Here is a 22,471-nt window from a genome sequence, read left to right on the forward strand (position 1 = left end):
TTCTTAAAGAAAAGAATTTTCAACCCAGAATTTCATATCCAGCCAAACTAAGCTTTATAAGTGAAGGAGAAATAAAATCCTTTACAGACAAGCAAATGCTGAGAGACTTTGTCACCACCAGGCCTGCCTTACAAGAATTCCTGAAGGAAGTACTAAATATGGAAAGGAAAAACCAGTACCAGTGACTGCAAAAACATACCAAAATGTAAAGACCATCGACACTATAAGGAAACCGCATCAACTAATGGGAAAATAACCAGTTAACATCACAACGACAGGATCAAATTCACACATAACAATATTAACTTAAAAGGTAAATGGGCTAAACGCCCCAATTAAAAGACACAGACTGGCAAATTGGACAAAGAGTCAAGACCCATTGGTGTGCTATATTCAGGAGACCCATCTCATGTGCAAAGACACACATAGGCTCAAAATAAAGGGATGGAGGAATATTTACCAAGCAAATGGAAAGCAAAAAAAAGCAGGGGTTGTAATCCTAGTCTCTGATAAAACAGACTTTAAACCAACAAAGATCAAAAAAGACAAAGAAGGGCATTACATAATGGTAAAGGGATCAATGCAACAAGAAGAGCTAACTATCCTAAATATATATGCACCCAATACAGGAGCACCCAGATTCACAAAGCAGGTTCTTAGAAACCTACACAGAGACTTAGACTCCCACACAATAATAATGGGAGACTTTAACACCCCACTGTCAATATTAGACAGATCAACGAGACAGAAAATTAACAAATATAGTCAGGACTTAAACTCAGCTCTGGAGCAAGAGGACCTAATAGACATCTACAGAACTCTCCACCCCAAATCAACAGAATATACATTCTTCTCAGCACCACATAGCACTTATTGTAAAATTGACCACATAATTGGAAGTAAAACACTCCTCAGAAAATGGTAAAGAACAGAAATCATAACAAACAGTCTCTCAGACCACAGTGCAATCAAATTAGAATGCAGGATTAAGAAACTCACTCAAAACCACACAACTACATGGAAACTGAACAATCTGCTCCTGAATGACTAGTGGATAAATTATGAAATTAAGGCGGAAATAAATAGGTTCTTTGAAACCAATGAGAACAAAGACACAACATACCAGAATCTCTGGGACACAGTTAACACACTGTTTAGAGAGAAATTTATAGCACTAAATGCCCACAGAAGAAAGAGGGAAAGATCTAAAATGGACACCCTAACATTACAATTAAAAGAACTAGAGAAGCAAGATCAAACAAATTCAAAAGCTAGCAGAAGACAAGAAATAACTATATTAGAGCAGAACTGAGGGAGATAGAGACACGAAAAACCCTTCAAAAAAAATCAATGAATCCAAGAGCTGGTTTTTTGAAAAGATTAACAAAATAGACCACTAGCCAGACGGATAAAGAAGAAAAGAGAGAAGAATCAAATAGACACAGTAAAAAATGATAAAAGGGATATCACCACTGATCCCACAGAAATACAAACTACCATCAGAGAATACTATAAACACCTCTACACAAATAAACTAGAAAATCTAGAAGAAATGGATAAATTTCTGGACATATACACCCTCCCAATACTAATCCAGGAAGAAGTTGAATCCCTGAATAGGCCAATAACAAGTTCTGAAATTAAGGCAGTAATTAATAGCCTACTAAACAAAAAAAGTCCAGGAGCAGACAGATTCATAGCCGAATTCTACCAGAGGTACAAAGAGGAGCTAGTACCATTCCTTCTGAAACTATTCCAAATAATAGAAAAAGAGGGACTCCTTCCTAACTTATTTTGTGAGGCCAGCATCATCCTGATACCAAAACCTGTCAGAAACCAACAAAAAAAAAAAAAGAAAATTTCAGGCCAACATCCCTAATGAACATCGAAGCAAAAATCCTCAATAAAATACTGGCAAACCAAATCCAGCAGCACATCAAAAATCTTATTCAGCACCGTCAAGTTGGCTTCATCCCTGGGATGCAAGGCTGGTTCAACATATGCAAATCAGTAAATGTAACCCATCACATAAACAGAACCAACGACAAAAACCACATGATTATCTCAATAGACGCAGAAAAGGCCTTCAAAAAAATTCAACACCCTTTCATGCTAAAAACACTTAATAAACTAGGTATTGATGGAATGTATCTCAAAATAATAAGAGCTATTTATGACAAACGAATAGCCAATATCATACTGAATGGGCAAAAGCTGGAAGCATTCCCTTGAAAACCGGCACAAGACAAGGATGCCTTCTCTCATCACTCCTATTCAACACAGTATTGGAAGTTCTGGCCAGGGCAATCAGGCAAGAGAAAGAAATAAAGTGTATTCAAATAGGAAGACAGGAAGTCAAACTATCTCTGTTTGCAGATGACATGATTGTATATTTAGAAAACCCCATCATCTCAGCCCCAAAACTCCTTAAACTGATAAGAAACTTCAGTAAAGTCTCAGGATACAAAATCAATGTGCAAAAATCACAAGCATTCAGCATTCCTATACTCCAATAATAGACAGAGAATCAAATCATGAGCAAACTCCCATTCACAATTGCTACAAAGAGAATAAAGTAGCTAGGAATACAACTTACAAGGGATGTGAAGGACCTCTTCAAGGAGAACTACAAACCACTGCTCAAGGAAATATGAGAGGACACAATCAAATGGAAAAACATTCCATGCTTATGGATAGGAAGAATCAATATTGTGAAAATGGCCATACTGCCCAAAGTAATTTATAGATTCAATGCTATTCCCATCAAGCTACCATTGACTTTCTTCACAGAATTAGAAAAAACTAGTTTAAATTTCATATGGAACCAAAAAAGAGGCCATATAACCAAGACAATCCTAAGTGAAAAGAACAAAGCTGGAGGCATCACGCTACCTGACTTCAAACTATACTACAAGGCTACACTAACCAAAACAGCATGGTACTGGTACCAAAACAGATATATAGACCAATGGAACAGAACAGAGACCTCAGAAATAACATCACACATCTACAACCATCTGATCTTTGACAAACCTGACTAAAACAAGAAATGGGGAAAGGATTCCCTATTTAATAAATGGTGTCGAGAAAACTGGCTGGCCATATGCAGAAAACTGAAACTGGACCTCTTCCTTACACCTTATACAAAAATTAACTCACGATGGATTAATGACTTAAATGTAAGAACTAAAACCATAAAAATCCTAGAAGAAAACCTAGGCAATACCATTCAGGACATAGGCATGACTAAAACACTAAAAGTAATGGCAACAAAAGCCAAAATTGACAAATGGGATCTAATTAGACTAAAGAGCTTCTGAACAGCAAAAGAAACTATCATCAGAGTGAACAGGCAACATACAGAATGGGAGAAAATTTTTGCCATCTATCCATCTGACAATAGGCTAATATCTAGAATCTAAACAGAACTTAAACAAATTTACAAGAAAAAAACAATCCCATCAAAAAATGGGTGAAGGATATGAACAGACACTTCTCAAAAGAAGATATTTATGTGGCCACCAAACATATGAAAAAAAGCTCATCATCACTGGTCATTAGAGAAATGCAAATCAAAAGCACAATGAGATACCATCTCACGCCAGTTAGAATGGCGATCACTAAAAAGTCAGGAAACAACAGATGCTGGAGAGGATGTGGAGAAATAGGCATGCTTTTACACTGTTGGTGGGAGTGTAAATTAATTCAACCACTGTGGAAGACAGTGTGGCGATTCCTCAAGGATCTAGAACCAGAAATACCATTTGACCCAGCAATCCCATTACTGGGTATATATTGAGAAGTTTATAAATCTTTCTTCTATAAAGACACATGCACATGTATGTTTATTGCAGCACTATTTACAATAGCAAAGACTTGGAACCAACCCAAATGCCCATCAATGATAGACTAGATAAAGAAAATGTGGCACATACACACCATGGAATACTATGCAGCCATAAAAAAGAATGAGTTCATGTCCTTTGCAGGGACATGGATGAAGCTGGAAACCAGCATTCTCAGCAAACTAACACAGGAACAGAAAACCAAACACTGCATGTTCTCACTCATAAGTGGGAGTTGAACAATGAGAACACATGGACATAGGGAGGGGAATATCACACACCAGGGCCTGTCAGGGGGTCGGGGGCACGGGGAGGGATAGCATTAGGAGAAATACCTAATGTAGATGATGGGCTGATGGGTGCAGTAAACCCCCATGGCACATGTATACCTATGTAACAAACCTGCACGTTCTGCATATGTATCCCAGAATGTAAAGTATAATAAAAAAAAATGGTCCTGGGAAAACTGTTTAGCCATATATAGAAAATTGAAACTGGACCCGTTCCTTACACCTTATACAAAAATTAACTCAAGATGGATTAAAGACTTAAATGTAAAACCCGAAACTATAGAAACCACAGAAGGGCTGGGTGCAGTGGCTCATACCTGTAATCCCAGCACTTTGGGAGGCCGAGGCAGGTGGATCATGAGGTCAGGAGCTCGAGACCATCCTGGCCAACACGGTGAAACCCCGTCTCTACTAAAAATATGAAAATATTAGCCAGCTGGGCATGGTGGCACGTGCCTGTAGTCCCAGCTACTCAGGAGGCTGAGGCAGGAGAATCACTCGAACCTGGGAGGTGGAGGTTGCAGTGAGCCGAGACCACACCATTGCACTCTAGCCTGGGCGATGGAGCAAGACTCCGTCTCAAAAAACAAAACAAAAAACAAACAAAAAAACCCCAAAACACACACACACACACACACACACACACACACACACAAACCATAGAAGACAATATAGGCAATACTATTCATTCAGGACACAGGCACGGGCAAAGACTTCATGATGAAAACATCAAAAGCAATTGCAACTAAGCAAAAATTGACAAATGGGATTTAATTAACTAAAGAGCTTCTGCTCAGCAAAAGAAACTATCATCAGAGTCAACAGACAACCTATAGAATGGGAGAAAATTTTTGCAATCTATCCATCTGACAAAAGTCCAATATCCATAATGTACAAGGAATTTAAACAAATTCACAAGAAAAAAACAAAGAACCTCGTTAAAAAGTCGGCAAAGGACACGAACAGACACTTCTCAAAAGAAGACATTTATCCAGCCAACAAACATAAAAAAAGCTCAGCATCACTGATCATTGGAGAAATGCTAATCAACACAATGAGATACCATCTCACACCAGTCAGAATGGCGATTATTAAAAAGTCAAGGAACAACAGATGCTGGTGAGGCTGTGGAGAAACAGGAACGCTTTTTTACACTGTTGGTGGAAATGTAAATTAGTTCAACCATTGTGGAAGACAGTGTGGTGATTCCTCAAAGACCTAGAGGCAGAAATACCATTTGACCCAGCAATCCCATTACTGGGTATATACCCAAAGAATATAAATCATTCTATTATAAAGATATATGCATGTGTATGTTCATTGCAGCACTATTCACAATAGCAAAGACATGGAATCAACACAAATGCTCATCTGTGATAGACTCGATAAAGAAAATGTGGTACATATACATCATGGAATGCTATGCAGCCATAAAAAGGAAAGAGATCATGTCCTTTGCTGGGACATGGATGGAGCTGGAAGCCATTATCCTCAGCAAACTAACACAGGGACAGAAAACCAAACACTGCACGTTCTCACTTGTAAGTGGGAGCTGAACAATGAGAAACACATGGACACAGGGAGGGGCACAACACACATTGGGACGTGTCGGGGCTGGGAAGGGAGAGCATCAGGAAAGATAGCTAATGCATGCCAGGCTTAACACCTAGGTGATGGGTTGATAGATGCAGCAAACCAACATGGCACAGGTTTACCTATGTAATAAACCTGCACATCCTACACATATGTACTGGAACTTAAAATAATATAAAATAAAAAATATAAAATAAAACATACCATGCACAGTTCCTGGCATACAGATGGTGAAGCTATAAGTAACGGATCAGAAATATAATTTAAAGATGCTGAAGAGGATATTAAAATTTGTAATTATAAATTTAATTTACATTTTTGTAGGAAGAATTTTTTTAAAGATTTTTTTTCTTCTTCATCTTAATTATATGCTTTTGACTAATAGAATGTTAGTAACAATACAGATTGACAGGCAAAATGAGAATGCAGAGTATTTGGAATTTTACTATTTCAAAAAGATCAAATCAAAGATTAGCTTAGTGGAGTGAATGGTTGATTTGGGAAATGGTTCAGAACTAGTTAGCGAAAAAGTCTAAGATGATGCATTCTTAGATATAAGAAAGGGGAAGAGATTTGAATAAATCAACAAAACAAAGATGAAGCAGTTTCAATGAGGGTCGTGAACAAATTTAAAAAAGAGAAAAAGAAATAAATGTTAACATGAGGTAGTTATAGATCAATTACTTTAAGACTAATACATACCTCTGGAACTGAAGTTTCCATCAGAGACAGTGGAGGAGGAACACATCCACCATCCTGTGCAATTTCCACTGGTTGATAAATAACCTCAGAAGGTTGCAGGTATAAGAATGGAGCAGAAGAGGCAGAAGGCTAAAATACAAAACCATATTTCTAATTCAAATATGATTAGTTATTTCTGTTAAACCAAATGACTTAGCCAACAGATGAGAGAAGTACTTGTTTTTTATTTTACTAAATTTTTTTTTAGGAATAGCACAGAAGTATCTCAGCAACGGATTAGAAACTGATCTGTTATAAATTCCAACTGTGTAGATGTAGTTAAAGAATCTTATCATTGGTAAGCACTAGAACTTCTTAATGACTGAGAACCTCATATATAAATTCAGATAATAATTATGGTTATATTAATGTCACCAGTAAAGGTTGTGATAATGTGATCTATGGTATTTAAATTGACATAAATGTCTACTCTCAGCTCTGTGACTTCTAATGAAAGTGGGAAAATGTGAAACTTTTTTGGTGAAGTACTATTTGTTACCAAAAGTTGGGAAATAGAATACTTATTTAGGAACAGAATAAAAACTGAAGCCAAATCCAAATGAAGTTAGAAAAATGCTAAATTTTCAAATAACACTAATAGTAAAAAAGGGTAAGTTTTCATGTTTATACAGTACACATTTATAAAATGCTTTCACTTATGCATTATCATTTGATATTCACAAAAATCATGTAAGGAAACTTACAAAGGTATAGTATCATTATATCCATTTTACAAATGAAGAAACTGAAAATGAACTGCCAAAAGAATAAGTTAATAAACAGAAGAAGAAGGTCTCAAATCTAAAAAACTTTAGTATTCATGCAGTCATCACAAGAATATAATGAAAGAAGGATTTAAAATTATATATTGAAAGTTAACATTTACCTGAGGAACACTCCACTGCCACTGTCCTGGTAAATACTGTGTGGTGGCCTAAAATTAAATAAAAGAAAAGAAAAACCCATTCTGATTATAAACAAGGGTTAAAACTAGATATCTACAGGCAAAAATATGAAGTTGGACCCTCACACCATATACAAAAATTAACTCAAGCCATATACAAAAATTAACTCAAAATGGACCAGAGACTTAAATGTAAGAGCTAAAATTATACATCTCTTAGAAAAAAACATAGGTGTAAATGCCTGTGACCTTGAATTAGGAAATGTTTTTAAAATTATGGTTCCAAAAGCATAAACAACAAAGCAACAACAAAAAATAGTTAAATTAGATTTCATCAAAACTTTAAAAAACTTTTGTGCAAGTGAAAATACAACCCACAGGATGAGAGAAAACATGGAACTTATATCAAGAATGTATAAAGAACTCTTACAACTCAATAATCAAAAGACAAGTAACCCAACTTAAAAATTGGTAAATGATATGAATAGACTTTTCTCCAAAGAAGATATACATATGGCCAATAAACACAAGAAATAATGCTCGACACCACTAGCCTTCAGGGAAATACAAATCAAAACCATAATACAACATCACTTCATACCTACTAGGATGGCTTTAATCAAAAAAGTAGATCATAAATGTTGACGGGCACGTGGAGAAATTAGAACCCTCATAATCTGCTGGTGGGAATGTAAAATGGCGCAGCCCTTTGGGAAAATAAACACTTCCTTAAAAGGTTAAACAAAGTTACCGTATGACCCAGCAATTCCACTCTAGTTATAAAACCTAAGAGAAATAAAAATATGTGTTCACATAAAAATTTGTATGTGAATGTCCATCGCAGTATCATTTATAACAGTCAAAAAGTAGAAACAACTCAAGTGTCCATCATCTGATGAATGGATAAACAGAATGTGGTACAGTGTATCCATACAATGGGATATTATTTGAGAACGAAGTACTGAGATATGTCATGTCTCATTTATCATGACATAGATAAATCTTGAAATCATTATGCTAAATGAAAGAAGCCTGTCACAAAAGACCACATATTGTATGATTGTTTTTATAGGATATATCCAGAATAGGCAAATCTAGAAAAACAGGTAAGTAGATTACTGGTTGCCTAGCACTGGGATAAGGGGAAAAAGAAGACTCAACTCATCTACTGTAGCACAAAAACAGCCATAGACAATAAGTAAACAAATGTGGCTGTGTTCCAATAATGTTTTATTTACAAAAACAGGCTGCTGGCTGGAGTTTGGTCTGCAAGCCATAGTTTGATGACCCTGCTATAGACCAGAATGATCTGGCATTATAGTTCACTTATCCCCAATTTCTCACTAAAATTAATGAAGAGTGCTGGTTAACTGAAAGAGGATATCATAATATATAATAAACCACAATATATTATTTGCTTTAATATAAATTATGTTAAATATAATATAGCAAGAAACTGACATATGTTAACATTAAAAAACCAGCTTGCAGTCCAATACCTGTATCTTACTTGGGGAATTATTGCTAAAGACTTTTTAGATCTAAATGTTAGCCAGGGGAGCAAAACTGACCTCATCACATTTGGTAAAAGGAAGCAAAGAGTCCATCCATCTTCTTGTATGACATTGTTTAATTCCCTCGTAAAAAAAGAGAGGCATGATGTCAGCAAGATGGCTGACCAGAGATGCCTAGCATTCATTTTCCACTGGCTCCCCACCCCGCCACAAGAAAAGACTAAGGCAAAGAATAAACAGCTACAATTTGACAGGAGCATCAAAAGGAGAGTGCTGGAGTGCCGCAGGGGAGTGGAGACACACCTGTGGTGATTGCAAATCCAGGAGCGCAGCATGGAGCCACCCAGCCTCTGCAAACCCTTCTCTTCTGCTAGGATTGGTTCTGCCTGGAGTCCTGCAGTTTCTTATTGCAGGGAAAAGGTAAGCAGAAGATCCCCACCAGCCTGCATTGCTACTGCAAACAGCCACACTCCTTGCAACAGGAGAATCCCACAGTCTCACAGTTTGAAGAGCTGCTGGGAATTCGTGGCTGCATTGCCCCGAATTAGGAGTACAAAGTGTGTACTCCCCACCCCCTCAACCCCACCCTGTGAGCGAAGCTGCTACAGCGTGACAGCATCTTGAAGCCATAGTCATCTCTAGGGGGCCAGTAGCTATTGCACGTCTCCAGTACTGGGGTTCCATTTTCATTCTGCCAAGTACACACCAGTGGCTGAACACAACCTCAGCAGCATGGAACCTGAGGCTCAAGATTGGCTGTGATTCTGGTTCTGTACAGTAGGGAAACCAACGTCTGTTGCCCTCACCTCCAGCTAGAGGAACAATCTGGCTGACCTGCCCAGGGTGAACCCACTCTTTAGCTGGTCAAACTGCTGCACTCTCCTGAGCAGGACAGGTCCTCAAGCCTCGTAGTAGCTGACATGCTGCCGGGATGGAATGGTTACACACCTGCATACAGGGCTGAGAAACAGCCCAGAGGTGCCTCACGCCCTGCAGACAAGCCCCTGACCTACCCTGTGCATGCAATTAGAGCCCAAGAAACAGCTCCGGGGACTGCCACTGGCAGAAATGTCCCCAGGGGAGTGGAGTGGCTGTGTGTCCATGCCTCAGGCCTAAGAAATGGCCTCGTGCCCACCCCTCCAGCAGACACGTCCCCAGGACAGCTGAGCAGCCTGGAGCCTGTGTCCCAGGCCTGAAAAGCAGCCCCATAGGCTGCTTCCAGTGGGCATGATCCCAGGCCGACCAATAGCCCTGTGCCTGCATTCTGGGCCTATGAAACAGCCCTCACAGAAACGTTTCCAGGCCGGGTGATCCACCCTGTGCCTATGTCCCAGACTTGAGAAATAGCTCCGTGGGCCACCCCCAGCAGACATGCCCCTAGGCCAGGTGAGCAGTTGTGCACCTGCATCCTGAGCCGGAGAAACAGCCCCTGACAAACATGTCCCTAGCCGACTGAACAGCCATGCAGCTGTATTCCAGGCCTGAGAAACAGTCCCATGGGCTGTCCCCAGCAGATGCACCCCCAGGCCAGCGAAGGAGCCATGTGCCTGCATACCAGACCTGAGAAACAGCCCCACAGGCTGCCTCTGGTGGGCACTCCTCCAGGCTGGCTGAGAAACTGCATGCCTGTGCTCTCAGCCAGAGTAACAGCCCTGTGGCCCCAAGCCCAGTGAGCCAGACTTACCATGTTCATGTACACAGCCCTGACCTGAGGAACAGCTCAGCAAGCCCACCCCTGGCAAAGCCCTACCACCATTGTCATAGACTCTCTTTTGCTAGGTCACTGAGAAACTTGGAAACACAACTAGAGAGTATTACAGCTTAAGAGACTAAACAGAGACTACCCTAGCAGATAGGTTGAATCTAGCAGATTCAATCTAAACAGATCCTCTCAGAGGCACATTATAGTCAAATTGTTAAAAGTCAAAGAGAAAGAAAGAATTTTAAAAGCAGCAAGAAAAAAGTATCAAGTCACAATTAAAGGAATCCCCATTATACTAACAGCAGATTTCTTAGCAGAAATCTTACCAGGGAGAATGGGATGATATATTTAGATATATTCAAAATATTGAAGGAAAAAAACCTGCCAGCCAAGAATATTATACCCAGTAAAGCTATCCTTCAGAAATGAAGGAGAAATACGATCTTTCACAAGGCCAGGTGTGGTGGCTCATACTTGTAATCCCAGTGCTTTGGGAGACTAAGGCAGGAAGATTGCCTGAGCCCAGGAATTTGAGACCAGCCTGGGCAACATAGCAAGACCCTATCTCTTAAAAAAAATTAGCAGGCAGGGCACATGCCTGTAGTCTCAGCTGTGTGGCAGGCTAAGGTGGGAGGGATTACTTGAGCTCACGAGTTTGACACTGCAGTGAGCTATGATCATGTCACTATACTCTGTCTCTAAAAAAACCAGCTCTTTCATAGACAAGCAAAAACTGAGAGAATTTATCACCACTAGATTGGCCTTACAAAAAAAATACTCAAGGGAGTCTCACATCAGGAAGTGAAAGGATGGTAACAACGATCATGAAACATGCAAAACTATAAAATTCACTGGGACAGCCATTACACAAAGGACAAAAAGAAGAAAAGAATCAAGCCTTATAATTACAGAGAACCCAGCTGCAAAAAATCACCAAAAAGAGAGGGAACAATGAACAAAAGATATGCAAAATAACCAGAAAATGATAAATAAAATGACAGGATGTCCTCACCTATCAATAATAACCCTGAATGCAAATGGGTTAAATTCTCCATTTAAAAGATAGAGACTAGCTGAATATATTAAAAAAAGAGACCCAACTATATGCTACCTAAAAGAAACTCACCTTACCTGTAAAGACACACATAGGCTGAAAGTGAAGGGATGGAAAGACATGTTTCATGCAAATGGAAACCAAAGCAGGCAAGAGTAGCTATACTTATATCAGACAAAACCAACTTCAAGTTAAAAGTTTTAAAAAGAGACAAAGAAGGACATTTATATAATAATATAGGGATCAATTCCGCAAGAGAATATAACAATGTAATACATATGTACCCAACAAAAAGCACCCAGATATATAAAGCAAGTCTTATTTGATCTAAAGAGAGAGGGAGAAACCCCAATAAAATAGTGGTTGGGGACTTCAACACCCCACTCTCAGCATTGGACAGATTATCTAGAAAGAAAATAAACAGGCCGGGCACAGTGGCTCACACCTGTAGTGCCAGCACTTTGGGAGGCCGAGGTGGGCAGATCACAAGGTCAGGAGTTCGAGACCGGCCTGACCAATATGGTGAAACCCCGTCTCTACTAAAAATACAAAAATTGGCCAGGCGTGGTGGCATGCAACTGTAATCCCAGCTACCGAGGAGGCTGAGGCAGGAGAATTGCTTGAACCTGGGAGGCGGAGGTTGCAGTGAGCCGAGATCATGCCATTGCACTTTAGCCTGGGTGACAGAGCGAGATTCCTTCTCAAAAAGAAAAAAAGAAAAGAAACAAAGAAACATGGATTTAAACTGCACCATAGGCCAAACAGACCTAACAGCCATTTAGAGAACATTTAACTGAACAGCTGCAGAATATACTTTCTTTTCATCAGGATATAAAACATTCTCCAGAATTACCATATTTCAGGAAACAAAACAAGTCTCAAAAAATTAAAAAAAACTGAAATTATATAAAGTATCTTATCTGACCACAATGGAATAAAACAAGATATCAATAACAAGAAAAACATTCAAAACTATACAAATTCATGGAAATTAAGCAACATACTGCTGAATGACCAGTGGGTGAAGGAAGAAATTAAGAATGAAAATAGAAACACAGCATACCAAAACCTATGGGACACAACAGTAGCAGTATTAAGAGGCAAATTTATAACAATGAATGCTTACATCAAAAAACTAGAAATATTTCAAATAAACACCCTTACAATGTACCTCTAGGAACTAGAAGAGCAAGAACAAGCTAAACCCAAAATTAGTAGAAGAAAAGAAATAGTAATAATCAGGGCAGAAATAAACAATGTTGAGACTACAAAACAATACAAAAGATTAACAAAACAAAAGGTTGACTTTTTAAAAAGATAAAATCGACAAACCATTAGCTAGTCTAAGAAAAAAAAGAAAGTAGACCCAAATAAATAAAATCAGCAATGAAAAAGACACCACAATGAATACCACAGAAATACAAAGGATCATTAGAGGCTAATATGAACAACTCTATGCAAATAAATTAGGAAACCTAGAAGAAACGGATAAATTCCTGAACATATACAATCTGCCAAGACTAAACCAAGACTGAAGAAATTGAAAACCTTAAGAAACAAGGCCGGGCACGGTGGCTGACGCCTGTAATCCCAGCACTTTGGGAGGCCGAGGCGGGCAGATCACGAGGTCAGGAGATCGAGACCATCCTGGCTAACAGGGTGAAACCCCGTCTCTACTAAAAATACAAAAAATTAGCCGGGTGTAGTGGCGGGCGCCTGTAGTCCCAGCTACTCGGAAGGCTGAGGCAGGAGAATGACATGAACCTGGGAGGCGGAGCTTGCAGCGAGCAGAGATTGCACCACTGCACACTCCAGCCTGGGCGACAGAGAGTCCGTCTTAAAAAAAAAAAAAAAAAAGAAAGAAAACCTTAAGAAACAAATTTAAGTAACAAGATTGAATCAGTAATTAAAACGTCTTCCAACAAAGAAAAGTCCAGAACTACATGGCTGAATTCTACCAAACCTTTAGAGAAGAATACCAGATCTTCCCAAACTATTCCAAAAAATTGAAGCAGAGGGAATTCTCCCTAATTCATCCCATTAGTTTGATTATATTAAACTAAAAAGTTCCTGCACAGTGAATAAAACAATCAACAGAGTGAACAGACGACCTGTTGAATGGGAGAAAACATCTGTAAACTACTTATCTGACACAGAATTAATACCCAAAATTTACAAGGAACTGAGACATCTCAACAGCAAAATAAACAAAAAATAAACTGATTAAAAATGGGCAAATGATCTGAATAGACATTTCTCAAAAGAAGACAAAGAAATGGCTAACAAATACATGAAAAAATGATCAACATCACTAATTATCAGGAAACTGTAAATCAAAACCACAATGAGGTATTATCTACCCCAGTTAGGATGTTTATTGTCAAAAAGAGAAAATAACAAACCCTGGTGAGGATGTAGAGAAAAGGGAACTCTTATACACTGTTACTAGGAATGCAAACTAGTACAACCACTATGGAAAACAGTATGGAGATCCCTGAAGAAACTACAAATAGAACTACCATATGATCTGGTAATCCCACTACTGGGAATTTATTTGGAGAAAAGGAAATCATTGTATCAGAGAGACATCTGCACCCCCATGTTTATTACAGCATTATTCACAATAGCCAAAATATGAAATCAACCTGGGTGTCCAACAACAGATGAATAAAGAAAATATGGTATATATATACACAATGGAATACTATTTGGCTATAAAAAAGAATAAAATCCTATCACTCATGGCAACATGGATGGAACTGGAGGTCATTACGTTAAATGAAATAAGCCAGGAACAGAAAGTTAAACAACACATGTTCTCACTCATATATGGAAGCTAAAAAACACTGATCTCAAAAATCTGCCACCTGCACAGATATTTTTGAAAGAAACAAGTTTTATTTTTCCCCCTTTCTTGTAATAAGTGATAAAATTCCAAGTCTTTTTCACTGCCTTCCAAACCATGTTCAGAAGAGAGTAGCTTATCCTCTGCTGGTCTACACTGGTTGCTGAATTTACTTGTATTCCTGTTTTTGTATATGCTGCATTTAGACTTACATATGGCAAGAAGGCATTTTTGTTGTTGTTGTTGTTAAAGGAAACAAACTCTCAAATCATGAAGTGATGTAAATGTTGCATATGCCTACAAAGCTCTGAATTCAGGTCCCATTGCTGTCACAAAGAAATGAATGTAACTCCTACCCTAATCCCTTTTTTATATAATAAAACTGCCTTAGCATGAGTTGCAACTGTCATCACTACAGTAAGCTGGTTTACAGATGTTTTCCACTGAGCATCACAATAAAGAGTACCATGTGTTACAAAAAAAAAAAGTTGATCTCATAGAAGTAAAAAGAATACTAGGGGCTGAGAAGGATAGAGGGAAAGGAGGAATAGGGAGAGGTTTGTGAAAGGATACAAAATTACAGCTACCTCAGGAATGGAAAACCAAACATCCTATGTTCTCACTCATAAGTGGGAGCTAAGCTATGAGTATGCAAAGGCATAAGAATGATACAATGGACTTTGGAGACTTAGGGAGAAGGAGTAGGAAGAGGGTGAGGGATAAAAGACTACAAATTGTGTTCACTGTATACTGCTCGGGTGATGGGTGCATCAAAATCTCACAAATCACCATTAAAGAACTTACTCATGTAACCAAATACCATCTGTTCCCCACAAACCTATGGAAATAAAAATTAAAAAAAAAACAACAAAAAATCCAAAACACCTCCAAAATTACAGCTAGATAGGAGGAATAAGTTCTAATGTTTTATACCACTATAGGATGACTATAGTTAACAATAATACATAGTTTCAAATAGCTAGGAGGCTATTGAATGCTCCCAACACAAAGAAATGATAAATGTTTGAGATGATGGATATGCTAATTACTCTGATTTGATCACCATATTACATGTATCAAAACATCACTACATACCCCATGAATAGGTATAATTATCATTTGTCAATGAAAAAAAATTAAAAAAAAAACACTACCAAGGATTAACTATCTCTTTTTTATTTTTTATTTTCTAACTAATCATTTATTTTATTTTACTTATTTTTAAAACTTTTATTTTAGGTTCAGGGGTACATGTGAAGGTTTGTTACATAGGTAAACTCGTGTCACAGGAGGTTGTTACACAAATTATTTCATAGCCCAGTACCCAATAGTTATCTTTTCTGCTCTTCTCCCTCTTCCCACCCTCCACCCTCAAGTAGACCCCAGTGTCTACTGTTCCCTTCTTTACGTTCATGAGTTCTCATCATTTAGCTCACACTTATAAGTAAGAACATGTGGTTATTTGGTTTTCTGTTCCTGTGTCAGTTTGCTAAGGATAATGGCCTCTGGCTCCATCCATGTCCCTGCAAAATATATGATCTCATTGTTTTTTATGGCTGCATAATATTCCTTGGTGTATATGTACCACATTTTCTTTATCCATCTGTCATTGATAGGCATTCCATGTCTTTGCTATTGTGAATAGTGCTGCAATGAACATTCGCATGCATGTGTCTTTATGGTAGAATGATTTATATTCCTCTGGCTATATACCCAGTAACGGGTCTAATGGTAGTTCTGCTTTTAGTTCTTTGAGGAATCTCCATACTGCTTTCCACAATGGTTGAACTAATTTACACTCCAACCAACAGTGTATAAGTGTTCCTATTCTCTGTAACCTCGCCAGCATCTGCTATTTTTGACTTTTTAATAATAGCCATTCTGACTGGTGTGAGATGGTATATCAATGTGGTTTTGATTCACATTTCTCTAATGAACTATCTCTTTGTAATTAGCAAAGTAGTTGCATGAGAAAGAAATAAATGAAAGTTAGCTAAGAAAGGACTGAAAGTTTCAGAGAGAATTTTAATTGTAATTTATGTTTACCTGGTAGTGATATGCAGGTTGCTGATAAATGGGCTGAGCTACCATCACAGGGGAGCTACATACAGAACGTGACTATAAAAGGATGGAAAAAGAAAAATTAGGCAGAAGCCTTTAAAATAGCTCACAATAAAATTTATCTCAAATTATTACCTAAACCCAGTAAACTTCTGGTTTATGATTAGAAATATTATTTTTCTACCTCTTATTGATATGATTACCAACTCTACTAAGTCTATTAAAATCATCACAATATTTCTACTTCTACGTGGTTTCATTTCCATAGTAATGCTAAAACAATCACCAGAAAAGTTGTTTTTAGTCTGAAATGTACCATCTCCAAAGATTATGAAAATATAGTTATAAGAGAATACTTAGAGGAAAATGACAGCAAGACTTAGGGTGACGCTGCCTGTTTCCATTGTGGGGACCAGCAGGAAACAGTTAATGTTTATAATAGTGTTTAGAACTGAATGAATAGTCGTATCTAATTTTCCCACTAGTTACAAATAATCAATGTTCTATTCCTTTGTTATACCTATAATTAAAGCAAAGATATTTTATTTTTATTTTAGTAATTTGACATTTAAAAGAGTTAATAGTTTGATAAACTTACAAGTGAAAAATCTGTGCTGAAAAAAGTACAGGTAACACTTGATTATTCAAAGTGAAAGAGTAAGCCCCAAAACAGATTACTTAAAACCAGATCTTTAATAAAACAGGCAAGTTGTATTGCAAGATAGTAAAACTGGCTCTAATGTAGCAATTAAAATTCAGTGTCTAATGTGGGATCTAACTTATATTGTTTTGTTTAATGTTTGCACCCCCGAAACTGAGGAAAAGTATCACAGTTTTGTACAATTCACAGACTATGGTATGCTAATAAAACTGTATCACTGATTAACATTAGAAAATAATAATGTAATTTCCCATATTAATAGATTAAAGGAGAAAAAATGGTAATTTCAACAGAGACAGAAAATGCATTTGTTAAAATTCCATACCTTTTTATGATTAAAAACTCTTAACAAACATGGTAGAAAATGGCTTCCTTAATTGATTTAGGGCAGTAACTCTCAACCATGAGTGATTTTGTCCTATAGGGAACATCTGGCAATGTTGGGAGACATTTTTGATTATCATAACTATGGGGAGCCTAGGGATACTTCTAAACATCCTACAGTGCACAGGACAGACCTTCACAGCAAAGAAATAATCTGGCTCAAAATGTCAACAGTGCTAAGATTGAGAAAGTCTGGTTAAGAGTATCTTCCCACTTACAAAGTATGCGTGTGTGTGTCTATATATGTATGTATACATGCATGCATACATGTAAAGTTTAATGGTGAATCACTGAAATTGCTCCCTTTTTCAAGAACAAGGTCATGATGTTTTCACTACATCAATACTGTAGCAGAGACATGGTCAGTGCAAAAACTCCAGGAAAAAAAGAAGTGAAAGAAATAGAAGTACACTGAATCATAAATAATTGTGTAAATGAGAGTTTGGCAGGGTTACTGATAGATTATCACTATTGAAAAATCAAGAGCATTACTATACACCAGCTACAATCTATTAGGAAATGTTATTTAAAAAACAGCATTCATTAAAGCAACAAAACTATAGTCTACTAAGAATAAATTTGACAAAATGTGTCACGCTTTTTTATGGAGAAAGAAAACTTTTTTATGGATAGAAGTAAAATAAGACAAATAAATGGAGAGATGTATCATGTTCATGGATAGGAAGATTCAATATTTTAAAATACTGAAATGTCCCAAGTTATTCACACTATTTAATGCAATTCTAATAAAAAAAAGGGCTTTTCACTGAACTAAACAAACTGAATTAAAAAATTTATACACATAAAAGCAAAGACATAAGGATAGATGAGAGACTCCTGAAGATGAACAATGTACTTTAAGATTTCAAGACTCGTTATAAAGTCAAAATAATTACAACTGGGCAAGGTGAACAAATACACCAATGGAACAAAATAGCAGAAAAAAGACCCACACACATGGAAACTTAGTGTTTGGCAGAGGATTAATTTCAAAATAGCAGGAAATAGGTGGATTAGTCGATACATAAATTCAAGATTTAAGATCTAGAAGTGAAAAGTGGCAATACTATAGCATTAAAAATAAAAAATAGCATATATTCTTGTAGTAAAAAACAAAAAACTAAAAAAGAAGAAAAAATCTTGTGCCAGTTTTCAAAGGGAATACTTCCAGTTTTTGCCCATCTAGTATGATACTGACTGTGGGTTTATCATAAATAGCTCTTATTATTTTGAGATACGTTCCATCAATACCTAGTTTATTGAGAGTTTTTAGCATGAAGGGCTGTTGAATTTTGTCGAAGGCCTTTCCTGCATCTATTGAGATTAATCATGTGGTTTTTGTCGTTGGGTCTGTTTATGTGATGGATTATGTTTATTGATTCGTGATGTTGAACCAGCCTTGCATCCCAGGGATGAAGCCAACTTGATTATGGTGGATAAGCTTTTTGATGTGCTGCTGGATTCGGTTTGCCAGTATTTTATTGAGGATTTTTGCATCAATGTTCATCAAGGATATTGGTCTAAAATTCTCTTTTTTTGTTGTGTCTCTGCCAGGCTTTGGTATCAGGATGATGCTGGCCTCATAAAATGAGTTAGGGAGGATTCTCTCTTTATCTATTGATTGAAATAGCTTCAGAAGGAATGGTACCAGCTCCTCTTTGTACCTCTGGTAAAATTCGGCTGTGAATCTGTCTGGTCCTGGAATTTTTTTATTTGGTAGTCTATTAATGATTGCCTCAATTTCAGAGCCTGTTATTGGCCTATTCAGAGATTCAACTTCTTCCTGGTTTAGTCTTGGGAGGGTGTATGTGTCCAGGAATTTATCCATTTCTTCTAGATTTTCTAGTTTATTGGCGTAGAGCCCTCTCTCTTCACTCCTATTCAACACAGTGTTGAAAGTTCTGGCCAGGGCAATCAGGCAGGAGAAAGAAATAAAGGGTATTCAATTAGGAAAAGAGGAAGTCAAATTGTCCCTCTTTGCAGATGACATGATTGTATATTTAGAAAACCCCATCATCTCAGCCCAAAATCTCCTTAAGCTGATAAGCAACTTCAGCAAAGTCTCAGGATACAAAATCGATGTGCAAAAATCACAAGCATTCCTATACACAATAACAGACAAACAGAGAGCCAAACCATGGGTGAACGCCCATTCACAATTGCTTCAAAGAGAATAAAATACCTAGGAATCCAACTTACAAGGGATGTGAAGGACCTCTTCAAGGAGAACTACAAACCACTGCTCAACGAAATAAAAGAGGACACAAACAAATGGGAGAACATTCCGTGCTCATGGATAGGAAGAATCAATATTGTGAAAATGGCCATACTGCCCAAGGTAATTTATAGATTCAATGCCATCCCCATCAAGCTACCAATGACTTTCTTCACAGAATTGGAAGAAACTACTTTAAAGTTCATATGGAACCAAAAAAGAGCCCACATTGCCAAGACAATCTTAAGCAAAAAGAACAAAGCTGGAGGCATCACGCTAGCTGACTTCAAACTATACTACAAGGCTACAGTAACCAAAACAGCATAGTACTGGTACCAAAACAGAGATATAGACCAACAGAACAGAGGCCTCAGAAATAACACTACACATCTACAACCATCTGATATTTGACAAACCTGACAAAAACAAGAAATGGGGAAAGGATTCCCTATTTAATAAATGGTGCTAGGAAAACTGGCTAGCCATATGTAGAAAGCTGAAACTGGATCCCTTCCTTACACCTTATACAAAAATTAATTCAAGATAGATTAAAGACTTCAAATGTTAGACCCAAAACCATAAAAACCCTAGGAGAAAACCTAGGCAATACCATTCAGGATATAGGCATGGGCAAGGACTTCATGTCTAAAACACCAAAAGCCATGGCCACAAATCCAAAATTGACAAATGGGATCTAATTAAACTAAAGAGCTTCTGCACAGCAAAAGAAACTGCCATCAGAGTGAACAGGCAACCTACAGAATGGGAGAAAATTTTTGCAATCTACCCATCTGACAAAGGGCTAATATCCAGAATCTACTAAGAACTTAAACAAACTTACAAGAAAAAAATCAAACAACCCCATCAAAAAGTGGGTGAAGGATATTAACAGACACTTCTTAAAAGAAGACATTTATGCAGCCAAAAGACACATGAAAAAATGCTCATCATCACTGGCCATCAGAGAAATGCAAATCAAAACCACAGTGAGATACCATCTCACATCAGTTAGAATGGCGATCATTAAAAAGTCAGGAAACAACAGGTGCTGGAGGGGATATGGAGAAATAGGAGCACTTTTACACTGTTGGTGGGAGTGTAAACTAGTTCAACCATTGTGGAAGTCAGTGTGGCGATTTCTCAAGGATCTAGAACTAGAAATACCATTTGACCCAGCCATCCCATTACTGGGTATATACCCATAGGATTATAAATCATGCTGCTATAAAGAAACATGTAAACGTATGTTTACTGCGGCACTATTCACAATAGCAAAGACTTGGAACCAACCCAAATGCCCATCAATGATAGAGTGGATTAAGAAAATGTGGCACATATACACAATGGAATACTATGCAGCCATAAAAAGGATGAGTTCGTGTGCTTTGCAGGGATATGGATGAAGCTGGAAACCATCATTCTGAGCAAGCTATTGCAAGGACAGAAAACCAAACACCATATGGTCTCACTCATAGGTGGGAATTGAACAATGAGAACACTTGGACAGAGGATGGGGACCATCACACACCAGGGCCTGTTGTGGGGTGGGGGGAGGGGGGAGGGATAGCATTAGGAGATGTACCTAATGTAAATGACGAGTTAACAGGTACAGCACACCAACATGGCACATGTATACATATGTAACAAACCTGCACGTTGTGCACATGTACCCTAGAACTTAAAGTATATAAAAAAAAGAAATGCAAAAAATAAAAAATAAAAACCACTAAAGCAGTACTATATGTCATTTATGAATACATATATTTGTAGTAAAAATATATAAAATGAATAGGAAAGATATTCTGCTTACTTTTGAACAGGAAAGAGGGTAAGGAAGTGGGGGTAAGGAGAATTGACCTGAAGCTGTCTTACTTTACTCCCCATTTTAAGAACTTAAGTAAATGTGGCAAAATGTTGATGTCTATTTAATTTGGTTGATGTGTGTTATTATTTGTAATTATCTGTGGTTAAGATATTTCAGAAATATAACAAACATTAAAAAATTGATAGTAATAGATGGAAATCCTTTTTTAAATGAAATTACTTACAGGCCAAGGCGGTGGGACCGAAGTTACCTCTGGAGTATGAAAATAAGCAACACCATTATGGTAAGTATAAGGATATCCAGTTGAAGTTGTTAGATACATTGTTCCAGCTGCTGGCATTATACTAGAACCTAAAGCAAAGATTAAATAATAATAATTGAAATGTTCAATTTAACTGTTAAAAATGTAGTTTCTAAACACTTCAGAAAAATATTTATCTTAATATACCTATGTAGCTATGGTAAAAATTGAATGTCACAGATATTTTTAAAAAATTCCTTATGTCAAAGTATCTTTGAAGCCTGTATTTTTAAACTCAATACCTTAAAGCTTTTAGTTTAAGATGATTAAAAGAAAAGAAAAACAATACGAATAAGAAATACCAAAAATGTATCAATTCAGATTCCAACACCAGTATGCTACACAAAGCTGAACAATTTAGACTATCATCAGCGAAGTAATTATTTGTACAAATATAAATTATGTATAATTTAAAGTTACTTCAAGACAACATACACTGTAGTGAAGTTCCTAAGGTCTTGGCTAGACCTTTTATTTCTGAAAGTCCAAAGATGATGGAGGCAGTAAAGTTGGAGAAGATTCTACTTTCCTGAAGA

General features: G+C 37.3%; 1 protein-coding gene across 12 annotated transcripts in view; it reads right to left on the minus strand.

Annotated features, from left to right (window-relative positions):
- Positions 1-22,471, minus strand: part of BOLL (boule RNA binding protein) — a 59,317-nt gene that overhangs the window by 23,108 nt on the left and 13,738 nt on the right. For 5 of the 12 annotated variants that reach the window (XM_011511692.4, XM_011511694.3, XM_024453053.2 and 2 more), the window contains exons 6-10: positions 21,858-21,985; positions 16,535-16,606; positions 8,945-9,010; positions 7,356-7,403; positions 6,431-6,559 (exon numbers count right to left, since the gene is read on the minus strand). In XM_011511692.4, coding sequence (XP_011509994.1) covers positions 6,431-6,559; positions 7,356-7,403; positions 8,945-9,010; positions 16,535-16,606; positions 21,858-21,985 — 443 coding nt within the window. Of the gene's footprint in view, positions 1-5,932; positions 5,965-6,430; positions 6,560-7,355; positions 7,404-8,135; positions 8,160-8,944; positions 9,011-16,534; positions 16,607-21,857; positions 21,986-22,471 lie in introns of those variants that run through there. The other 7 variants (NM_001284358.2, NM_197970.3, NM_033030.6 and 4 more) reach the window with 4 other exon arrangements.

The sequence above is a fragment of the Homo sapiens genome, chromosome 2, assembly GCF_000001405.40.
Source record: "Homo sapiens chromosome 2, GRCh38.p14 Primary Assembly".
Classification (NCBI taxonomy): Eukaryota; Metazoa; Chordata; class Mammalia; order Primates; family Hominidae; genus Homo; species Homo sapiens.